The following is an 11823-nucleotide window of genomic DNA, read 5'->3' as shown; positions in this document are numbered from 1 at the left end:
ATCCAGAGAGGACGACCATCTTGATTTTGATTTTTTTTTTTAAGTAAAAGTGTCGTGTCTGGGGAAAGAAAGCCATGTAATCTATTTTCTTATTTTCACAAATGCCAGCTCTTATGGAGATTAATGTTTATTTTTTATTGACCAACACCAGGAAAAAATAAAAAATGAATAAAATAATAAAACATTTAAAATAATAAAATGCCATATTCATCTTTTTAAAAAAAGAATAAAAATTTTTGCTCTCATTTGTCATGGCAAAAATGAGTTGTCAGAGAAGTTTCTGGTAAAATAGCTGCTTTGAATCACAAGCTTATTTTTCTCATTTAAGTTTATTTTATTGTTTAGGCAAACAACGGAGTGTTTGTTTGTTTGTTTTTTGCTTGTTTCTGTAAAACATTGTATCTTGGTTTGGAAGGCAGCTGCAGCAGCAGGCAGTCGGCAGCGAGGAGGTGAGGACAGCCATGGCAGTGGTGATTGCAGGTGGAACCCCTGTGCCCCGCGTCGCCAAGGCAGCTAAGTGCGCCACTCCCACTCTTGGGCAGCCAGGTGGGACCTGCAGAACCACCCCTAGGCCTGCAGCCTCTGCCCTGGCCTCATGTTGTCCCTCTTGCTGTCTGCTGCTGCAGGGAGGGCACAGGGAGGAGGCGGAGCTGGGGCTGCACTTCCAACTGGGGAGGGAAGTGAGATCAGAGCCCACTTCAGGGACCTGCCAGCAGGGCAGTCGCTCCCACCTCACCGAGGGCAGGGGTTCCTGCGCTTCAGGAAAAAGAAGGCTTTGAACAGGGCCGCCAGGGGGCATGTCCCCGGCGTCTGCCCCACAGGAACCTCACATCGGGGTGACTGCCAGTCTTGACATTCCGGAGGGCCAGGCCTGGGGGCTTCAATCTGCTTCCGGAGCCATCCTCCCCTTCCTGGGCAGGGCTGCAAGCTGGGTCGGGGGCAGCTCTTGGCTGCCCTTGAGCACTGGAGCCAATTGTGGAGCTTGCAGAGACACTGCTGCTGTCCCGGGTGCCGGCCTGGTGAGGATCTGGAGCCTCTTCCCTAGGCTGTGAGGAGACATGGCTGAGCTACACTCCACAGAGCCAGTGAGAGGCGGGAGCAGGCAGCAACACCACCCTCCCTGGCCCCAGTTGCAGTTACCCAAGTCAGGGCTGTGGACCCAGGCTTTCCTGTGCTCTTGGAGTGGGGAAGCAGGCAGGAGCTCCACCCCACTTCCCTTCATAGCTGCAGCTACCCAAGTGCAGGCTGTGGACCCAGGCTTCTCTGCACTCTTAGGGGCCCAGGAAGACCGGTCTCCACATTTCCCTCGCAGGCTTGGAGGTGCCTGATCCCACTGCCTGGCCTTTCCCTGCTCCCAGCCCTAGCTCTGATCTCAGAGAAGGGTTGGGGCTGAGCCCAGGCGCCGTCATAGCCTGGACGTTTGTGCGTATGTTGAGGCCCTCCAGACTTTGGGTACTGACAAGCGTTGGTGGGGGAAGCCAAGGGCAGGGCTGAGGGCATCTGGGAGCTGGCCTACAGGTGCCCATTGGCACGAAAAGCCTAGGCGCCATGGAGAGTGGCAGGAGGTACATGGGCTCCTGGGCAGAATGGGGTGGGTCCCCAGTGAGGCCCTACCTTCAGGCCAGGGAGAGCCTGAAGGCTGGGGCCCGGGCTGCCAGTCCTGTGGACTGGAATGGGGACTTGTGGTGGACCAACTGGCATGCATTTCCTCCCTTCTGAGGCCCATAAAATCTCCAGGATCAGCCAGAGCAGAGCAGAAGACAGAGAAACCATGGAACGACCAGCTGCAGAGAGGAGCTGCCCTCTGCCAAGAGCTTCAGATGACAGGACAACCTGCCTGCAGAGAGGATAACCTGCCTGAAGAGAGGATAACCTGCCTGCAGAGAGGAGTCACCCGCTCTAGGGCTTCCTCTCAGGGGAAAGCTGGAGAGGAAGGGATGACCAGCTGCGGAGAGGAGCTACCCTCTCTACTAAGAACTGAACAGTTGTTGGGATGACCTGCTTGCAGAGAGGAGCTACCCTCTCTGCTAAGAGCTGAAGACTCACCCAGACACTCTGACTACAGAGAGGAGCTGCCCACTGCGGGTCTTCCCTGAGCTGTTCTATTGCTCAATAAAGCTCCTCTTCATCTTGCTCACCCTCCACTTGTCTCTGTACCTCATTCTTCCTGGTCATAGACAAGAACTCGGGACCCACTGAATGGTCAGGCTAAATGAGCTGTAACAAAACACAGCTGAAACATGCCCCTTGCTCACCACATTGTAGCTGAAGAGGAGAGAAGAGCTATGGCCCTGTGGGGAGCCCAGACCTGGGAGCTCTTTGAGCCTGGGCTGTGACTCCCCCTTTAAGGCCCTGTGGTTTCTCACGTATTAAGCTTCCAGGTGCTACCACATTCCCTGGTGCCAGGCAGGAAAGCTGCTTGCAGTGCACCTGGTCCAGCTGCAGCCTCACAGAGCTGGCATCCATGCTGGCACCTGGAGCTGCCTGCCTCATGGCAGCAGCTGGAGTGTCTGACTATGCAGTGGCTGGACCCCACACTCACTCAAACACACCCCTCACTGCTTGGTGCCTGACTCCAGTCTCCCTTGGAGCCATGAGATACAAACTGGTAGCATGAACTGCACGCAACTGCATGGGCTGAATGGGCAGAATGAGCCCAGTGGGCCCAAGTGAAACTCGGGCAAAGGTGCCACCAGCCACAGGTTTCTAGCCAGAAAAGCGACACAACAAGGATCCTGTAACAGATTTAAGCCTAAAATAAATTATTTATACAAAGAAGTAAATCGCCACATACTTTATACCAATAAAAACTGCTTTCAGAAAGCAAAATTTACACAAAATGACATATTTGATGACAAATAAATACATAATTTTCATTTTCAATTATTCCATAACATTTCACATAAAAATAATTCTCTACTCTTGATCCCGACTTTCTTGGTTCAGACTTTCATCATCTTTGTCTGAACTTCTATATTCTCAACTAATGTTTGAAAAGCAAGATAAACATAGTTATTAAGTGTTTGGGGCCTAAAATTCAGTTGTAATTCTGATTCAGTACTTTAGGTGTCAATATCCTTAAGACAGTTTTCTCATAAGTACAATGACAGGATATTTTTTTTTCATTGCTATCTCACATTCGACTCTGTATGTGATTGAAATTCTGTTTGCTGTCTTGTTTGGGTGCAGCACGTGTTCCAGCAATATACTATGTGCCAGGCAATGTGCTAAGCACTTTACATGCATTTTCTACTCGAATCCTCACAATCCAGCCCAATACAGTTGGTATTATGAAGATTCCCATCACAGAGAGAGGACACAAGGCTTAGAGAGCACTGCGTCCAATGATAGGATCAACTGCAGGTAACAAAGTCGCAAAATAGCAGTTTAGCAAGATAGAATCCTGTTTCTCATTTTTATAAAAATTTGAAGATATGTGATTCAGAGCTGCTATGGTGCTCTACCTCATATAATCTGGGTTCCAGCTTCCTTCCTGCTTACCCCTTTTCTATTACAAGGATATGACCCTAATCCTTATGCTCCTAAAAGGTAATTTACATGTTTTGGATGTAAGAACAAAGGAAGGATAAAATTAAAGGGCACAAAGGTCATTTGCCAGCTATCTCTTAAAGTAAGGTTTTGTTTAGAAGTGAGGTATGGGACCTCAAGTGGATACAAAGGAACCCTCCAGGAAATGCAGTTTTTATTTTGAGAAGCTTTGTGCTCAACTAAGGCAAGTGACTATTCCACAGCAGTATGGATTATGAATGCTAAGTCTGAAGGGAAACTATCTGAATTCAAATCAGGCTTTCTTACTTATTAGTTAATATTGGAGTGTTAAGATACAAACCCATTTTTACTGCCTGTAACCTTGGTAGTATGGGTGTCTACAGGAGTCAAACACATGCCGCGCATGGGACTCAAGAAGTCAAAGAAACATCTAGTGGAAAGTGAAGTTGCTGAAAACGTAGAAGATAAGGGGCAATGTGTGAATTGGAAAAATCGACTGCTAATTTATTTTTGCCCTCCAGCTTTCACACAAGAATGTCTCTTGTGGTACAACCTAACTGGAGATATATAGGGTAGTAAATTCTTAGAAATGTGGTCATCATAGTCAACTTATATACTACATGCAACAATGCCAGTCAGACTGTGAAATTGTGGGCAAGTTTTTTAAATCTCTGTGACTCAATTATCTCATATAAAATGGGGATAATGATAGTATGTACCACAAAGATTATAAATTCTGAATAAATAGTAGCTATTACTATATAGATATCATCTTTATGATTACCAACTTCTATTACTTCATTTCACTACTAGTAATATTAATAACATATAATATACATTTTCTATTCTTGATTCACAATGGTAACAATAAAGCCTAATTTTTTATTGACCAAAAGTATTGGTCAATTTATTTACCTTCATAAAGACACCTTTACAGGGTTAGCAATTTTATCTTACCAAAATAATGATCTTTGTACAATAATTTTAAATGTAAGATTTAATTTTCTAAAATATTCTTATTGGAGAAAGCATTCTATGCATTATTAACAGAGAAATTAGAGGAATATGGCCATTTTGGGATTTCATCTTTCACTATTCCACCAAGAAACATCTCTTACTGCATTAATTTCAATGGAATTTCTGCACTTAATAGTTTCACTTGTATAGTTGATCATTATTCAAGGGGAACGTATTTGCAAATCTGCCAACTCACAAAAACTTATTTGTAACTTTCAAATCAATACTCACAGTGATTTCATGGCTGTTTATAGAAATGTGCAGAAAGGCAAAAAATTTAAGTTGCCTGCTACATGTGTTCCTGAGGTTGAATGAGGAGATGTCCTGCCTTCCTGTTTGAGCTCTTATGTTATAAACAATTATCTTTTTACGTTCTATTTAGTGTTTTTTTTTCATTTATATACTTTTTGTTGGTGATTTTACTATTTAAACTGCTGTCTAGTGTTCCTAAGAACAAGAAGCCTGTGATGTGTCTTAATGAGAAAGGCTTCGTTCAGGCATGAATCATAGTGTCACTGACCATGAATTCTTAAAGAATTAACAATATTTATTAAATGCATTATCTTTAAACAAAAACATTATAGAAAACAGCTATGTGTTGATTTTTTTTTTTTTTTTTTTTTTTTTTTTTTTTTTTTTTTTTTTTTTAGCTTTTAAGTTCAGGGATAAAAGTGCAGGTTTGTTGCATAGGAAAACTTGTGTCATGGAGGTTTGTTGTATCAGTTATTTCATCACTCAGGTGTTAAGCCTAGTACTCATCAGTTATTTTTCCTGATCTTCTCCCTCCTCCCACCCTACAACCTCTGGTAGGCCCCAGTGTATGTTGTTCCACTCTATGTGTCCGTGTGTTCTCATCATGTAGTTCCCATTTATAAGTGAGAACATGTATTTGGCTTTCTCTTCCTGTGTTAGTTTGCTAAGGATAATGCCCTCCAGCTCCATCCATGTTGCTCCAAAGGACATGATCTTGTTCTTTTTATGGGCTGGATCATATTCCAAGGTGTATATGTGCCACATTTTCTTTATCCAGTCTACTATTGATGGGCAGTTAGGTTGATTCCATGTCTTTGCTATTGTGAATAGTGCTGCGAGGAACATAATGTGTGCATCTGTCTTTATAATAAAGTTATTTACATTCCTTTGAGTATATACCCAGTAATGGGATCACTGGATTGAATGGTATTTCTGTCCTTAAGTCTTTGAGTAATTGCCATGCTGTCTTCCACAATGGTTGAACTAATTTACACTCCTATCAACAGTGTATAAGCATTCCTTTTTCTTCACAACCTCACCAGTATCTGCTTTTTTTTGACTTTTTAATAATAACCATTCTGACTGTTGTGAGATGGTATCTCATTGTGGCTTTGATTTGCATTTCTGTAATTTCTCTTGAGATTTTTTTATATGACGGTTGAACACATATATGTCTTCTTTTGAAAAGTATCTGACCACGTCCTTGGCCCACTTTTTATTTGGGTTGCTTGTTTTTTTCTTGTAAATTTGTTTACGTTCCTTATAGATGGTGGCTATTAAACCTTGTCAGATGCACAGTTTGCAAAAGTTTTCTCTCATTCTGTAGGTTGTCTGTCTACTCTATTGATAGTTTCTTTTGCTATGCAGAAACTTTTGTTTACTTAGATCCCATTTGTTAATTTTTGCTTTTGTTGCAATTGCTTTTGGCATCTTCGTCATGAAATCATTGCCCATGCCTATGTTTTGAATGGTATTGCCTAGGTTGTCTTCCAGGGTTTTTATCGTTTTGCGTTTTACATTTAAGTCTTTAATCCATCTTGAGTTAATTTTTTTATATGGTGTAAGGAAGGGGTCCAATTTCAATCTTCGGCATATGGCTAGCTAGTTATCCCAGCTACATTTATTTAATAAGGAATTCTTCCCCTGTTGCTTGTTTTTGTCAGGTTTGTCAAAGATCAGATAGTTGCAGTGGTATCATCTTATTTCTGGATTTTATATTCTGTTCAGTTGGTCTATGTTTCTGTTTTTGTACCAGTACCATGCTGTTTTGATTACCATAGCCTTGCTGTTTTGATTACCATAGCCATGCTGTTTTGATTACCATGATGATTTGATGAATGTTATAACCAGAGACTTAAGGAAACCTAATCCTCTATTTTTTCAAGGAGTGATCATCTAGTATTAACTAATTCAGTGTTGGATGTGGATTTATAGAAATTAACTACTGCAAATAATAAGAATTGACTGCATTTAAACTTTAATGTGATTTCCTACATAATTTTATAAGCTACACAAGGAATTTATACATATTTTTATCTTTGGATATTTAAGAGGAATTCAGATTATAACATACTAAGTCTATACTAGTTGGGAGTGAACAGTAATTTAGTTTGAGGAATAGTAATATTCAGTGCAAGCATTATAGAAGAATGTAAAATACAGCATCATAGCAGATAGAAAAATGGAAGGTGGCTGCAGTGAACCTTGGACAGCATATGTGGTGGACAATGGACATTGACACCACTTCCTCTGCACAGAAAGATGTCTTGTCCCAGCTACTAGAAGTGCTGTCAGATAACAGCCTTCAGCTTTCAGTCCTTTCAGGCACTGACACTTTGCCCAGTATCATATATTTCTGAATATAGCCCATATCCAGCTACCCATCTAGGTAGAAATATTAAGGTCTGGACATTTCAGCCCAAATGCTAAGCAACTCAGTTGACCCATTTTAGCTTCAGAGCTCCCTCTGTAATTAACTGCTTTACAGCTCTCTCTCTCCTCTACCCCCACTGCCCAATCCTATTTCCTGACCATTCCTTTCACAGGTGTTTATGCCAAGAGAATTCTTTAATAAATATCTTCAGTCTATACCAAACTCTCTCTGAGATATTGTTTCTTGGAGAACCCAAACTGTATCAGCGTATATTCTTAGATGCTCATGATATAGATGGCAGTTGGCTCTATCATGGACATGGGACATAAGCTGTAATTGTTTTTAAATTTATTTACTTTTATTTCATCTGTCCACTTCTTGTGAAATGGCTCCAATAAGATGGCACAAGCCTAAAAACACAAATGATTAAATATGACAAAAGCTGAATAAACTCTTTCTTGAGATATAAGGACCACTTAAACAAAACTTCTCAAATGAGTTGAGAAGTCTTTTGTCTCAAGGCTCCTGAAATAATGAAAATCTGCATTAAAATTTCTTCCCTTCTTCCAACCAGATGTTGCTAAGAGGCTGTATAAAGAGACCACAAGGTTATCGCTTAGCACAAGACTACTTATGGGGTAGATCAATGATGAACTCTCTCCTAAAGCTTTTATGAATATGTGTTTTCAAAGACAAACTAATAATAATAACAATATCAATAAATTATTATAAAAGAGAGAAAAAGATTTTAGAGTAATTTTTCATTAACAGTGGGTAACATTTTGCCCATAGGGAACTCCACTAACATTTTTTTCTTTTGTCTTCATTGTCTGTCTTAATAATTGATCTACAGCATAGTTATTCCTGGGATTGATGTATTGAGTCAGCTACAAAGAGGGAGAGGTGATAGTTGCTAGACAACCTTATCCATGACTGACGGGTTGCTGGATCTTTAACCTCTAGCACATTGCTTGGGAAGAATGAGGAAAGATCAACTTCTAAGTTATGTGGCTTTCAGGCTCAGACAAGACAGATATTGAGAATATAACTTAGTGTTAAAAAAGATTATCAAAGAGAAAAATAATCTATTTTCTAAACAGGAACAAAAATCTGTTTTATTTTTATTCTTACACACCAGGGTATTTTCTAATAAATAAATAAATAAATAAATACAAACAAACAAAAAACCTGCACAGTCTTTTGTTACATATTTTATATTGTCACTGTTTTATAAAGATCTTAAAGAAAATTACATATGTAATTTTTATTACTATGTTATTCTGGCAGGCTTTTCTGTTTTTCAAACCAAAGCCTAAAAATTATTTCATGTATCTTAAACTTAAATACAGATTGACTATTCATTATGAAATGCTTGGAACCAAAACTGTTTTAGATTTTAGATTTTTAAATTTTTTTAAATATTTACATAAACATAATGAAATATCTTAGAGATGGGACCCAAGTCTAAAAATAAAATTCATTTATGCTTCATATACATCTGATACACATACACTGAAAATAATTTTATACAATATTCTTCATAATTGTATGCATAAAACAAAGTTGGTACTAGGTGTTCATGTCTGAAATTTTTCACTTATGGTGTCCTATCAGCACTCAAAAAGTTCTGGATTTTTGAAAATTATAAATTTTGGATTTTGGGGTTGGGAATGCTCAATGTGTAATATCATAGTTATAATTATTTGTGTTGTTACAAGCTATTTCTTAATTGTAAGATCTTACTGAAACAGAAATTATTAAAAACAAATTCTGAGAACATTTATTGTTCCAGTTTTGGATAAAGCAATATAATGGCTATTTTTACAGGACCTTATATGACTATGATCCACTAACAAGGCAGAGATGGAGCCTACCTACAGAAGTAGTAAATGTTAGTACCTGGTTAATAGCCAGATCTTTTTTACAGTCTTTAAATATAAGTATTTTCTTAAGGGTGGGTATGTGAGGACTCTCTCTTAGTCAGTTTAGGCTGCTACAACCAAATACCACCCTACGAATTATACAGCTCTTTTGTATCCATAAAAATTTAAAAATTAAAGTACAATACATGGGATGGTTTAAACAATAAACGTTTATTTCTCACAGTTCTAGAAGCTGTGAAGTCCAAGATCAAGGTGCCACTCCATTTAGTTCTAGTAAGGACCCTCTTCTGGTTTGCACATGGCAATCTTCTTGATATATCCTCACATGACAGAGAGAGGGCTCTGGTCTCCCTCTTTCTATAAGGAGGATAATACTACCATGGGGGCTTCAGCCTCAACACCTCATCTAAATATAATTACTTCCCAAAAGCCCAATCTTCAAATACAAATCACACTGGAGATTCGGGCTACAGCATATGAATCTCAGGGGGCTAGAAATTGAAAATGTCTTATCTTCTTAATACCATCTCAAAGCATAAGACTCAAAAACATGAAGCAGTTTGTCAAATGTGGCTTGCACACAAGTGCAATAAGGACGCTGTTCTAGCAGTTCAGATTATTTGTTTGTTTTTCTGAAATTGAGGAGCTGATGAATTTGCAGACATGGCAGTAATAGAAAAAGAGCCAGAAACAGTTGCTAAGAATTATACTTCCAGGGTTTTCTCCAGAGTATTTTTAAGAAAAATTATGCAAACATTAGAGTTCATATTTTATTGGGCTCTCTTTTATTTTAATCTTTAGGAAACTTACTTGTGAATCAGTTTTGTTCTTTTGTGTTTAAAAGTTGTATGAGAAAGCCAGGCTCATTGCTTGTAATGGTGTAGCTCTTCCTTCACATTAGAAGGGAAAATTGACAGAGAAAATTAGCACATTAATTGGAGAAAACATAAAATGCATTGATAGAGATTCTCCCTGTATATATGTTTTTCACTTGGCAGAAGAGATCTAAATAGAGAGACTTTGTCTACATAAACAGGCATTTTGGAAGATATGGCATTGGTTATCTATGGGGCACCGATCTTTATGTCCAAAATACCATAAAGATAAAAGGTTAAAGATAAAAGGTCAAAGAGAAATATGAGAGTTTAGTATTTTAACTTTGGCAGGATGCACAGTTATCTATTCTAAACATTCTCTGGGTAATAAGAATTTCAAAGGCAATTGATACCATTTTCAAACGCAATATTGTATCTGGTACTCAACATTGCTATGAATGAGAGTCAGTCTCCAAGGAAGCAGCTTAGTTTGCAATGATAAAAGTAAATTGTTTTTTATTTCTGCAGGGAAAAGTAATTCTAGTTAGCCAGTGAGCCTGGAATTCTCTTAGCTTAATCTGTTATTCAAAAAGCATAGAAAAACATGAGAAAAATGTGACACTGGCATGAATTATAGCTACATTTAGGAAGTTAGAATTTTTTATATGAAGTATTGTAAACACACACATATGCAATCAAAAACATGCATCAAGAGGAAACTAAATAATATATATGTTTTAAGTGTGTTGAAATTTCTAATGTAATGATGTACAACTTTGTTTCAACAGAGTTTCCTGTATCTTCAGACTTGGGGCTACTGGTGTTGACAATAACTCCTACTAAGAAAATAATCATCTAGAAGACTGTCCTATCTTACAAAATTAAAGAGAGGACTAGAACACACAAGGAAGAAAGCAAGATAATACATAAAAGGGTACAGGAGTTAATAGGCACTTCATTTTACAATCTTGCTTCTATAGTTTCTTTATACTTCTTATGGTAAGAGTCCCTAGGAAGAATATCCACTTTTTTAAGACCTGAGCTTGCCAAGCCAATGCCAATCTTTCATAGAACTTCCTCTGATCACTATACTGTGCCATAAAATTACTGACATATCTGGAGTCTTATTAGTTATCAGATATACTTTTTCACAGTAGTTCTGATTTAGTTTCAAATGACATATTTGAGTTGTTAACATATGATGTGCTTTTAGCCATATAATTTGAACAGTAGAGCGATTTACTTGTACATTGGAAGGTTACCTTATTGGAAGGTTACCCTGGTCATTACCAATAGGAGCCAGGACTATAGGAAGCAAGCACCTGGAGTGGTCTTTTTTCCAGGCCAGTCACTACTACAACACTTATTAGGAGGAGCTAAAAATGTGCTCTACCAGGCAATTCTTACCAGTCACCTGTGTCCAATCCCCTCTTCTCTGTCAAGGTATTTGTATATCCACTACAGTCTTAATAGTTTAACTGTTTTATTTCTTCAGGCTGTGAATCCTTGCAATTCAGAGATGAAAGAAGCAGCACGAAAACTAATTTTGCTGTTATTCATGTCTAGTCTGACTTCTCTACACAAAAGTCCATTTAAAAAAAAATCTTGATTTAACCTTTAAATATAGGACATAAATTTCCAAATAGAAAACGTTATGTTAGGTATTTTAGAATTCAAAAGGTAATTGTTAAATATCTTGCGAGAGAAAATGTATAGTGATGTTTAAAAATTTAATATATATGTATAGGATATATATGTGTGTCAGAAAATGTATTAATGAATTGAATCCTTTGCTTAACTTCTGGAAATTGAGAACATATACATATATATGAGTGTGTGTGTATTTATTTATATTTTCATATTTGCCAGCCTAAGAACTACACTTAGAATGAGAGATGGAATTGAGAGATGTTGAGATGAATTGTTTAAGGTCACACAGCACAAAACCAATTAAAGTCAAGGCAAGGATGAG

At 38.5% G+C, this 11823-nt stretch overlaps 2 annotated features.

The window, feature by feature from the left end:
• Nucleotides 240-801: an enhancer, noted in NCBI's record as "H3K4me1 hESC enhancer chr11:23702399-23702960 (GRCh37/hg19 assembly coordinates)". NCBI's record gives its function as "activates a minimal SCP1, AML or CMV promoter by ChIP-STARR-seq in naive H9 embryonic stem cells {active_cell/tissue: H9 hESC(naive)}" and the evidence as "EXISTENCE:reporter gene assay evidence [ECO:0000049][PMID:30033119]".
• Nucleotides 802-1365: an enhancer, noted in NCBI's record as "H3K4me1 hESC enhancer chr11:23701835-23702398 (GRCh37/hg19 assembly coordinates)". NCBI's record gives its function as "activates a minimal SCP1, AML or CMV promoter by ChIP-STARR-seq in primed H9 embryonic stem cells {active_cell/tissue: H9 hESC(primed)}" and the evidence as "EXISTENCE:reporter gene assay evidence [ECO:0000049][PMID:30033119]".

The sequence above is a fragment of the Homo sapiens genome, chromosome 11 (assembly GCF_000001405.40).
Source record: "Homo sapiens chromosome 11, GRCh38.p14 Primary Assembly".
Lineage (NCBI taxonomy): Eukaryota > Metazoa > Chordata > Mammalia > Primates > Hominidae > Homo > Homo sapiens.
Note: the sequence above shows the minus strand (reverse complement) of the source record. Positions and strands in the feature narration are given on the sequence as shown.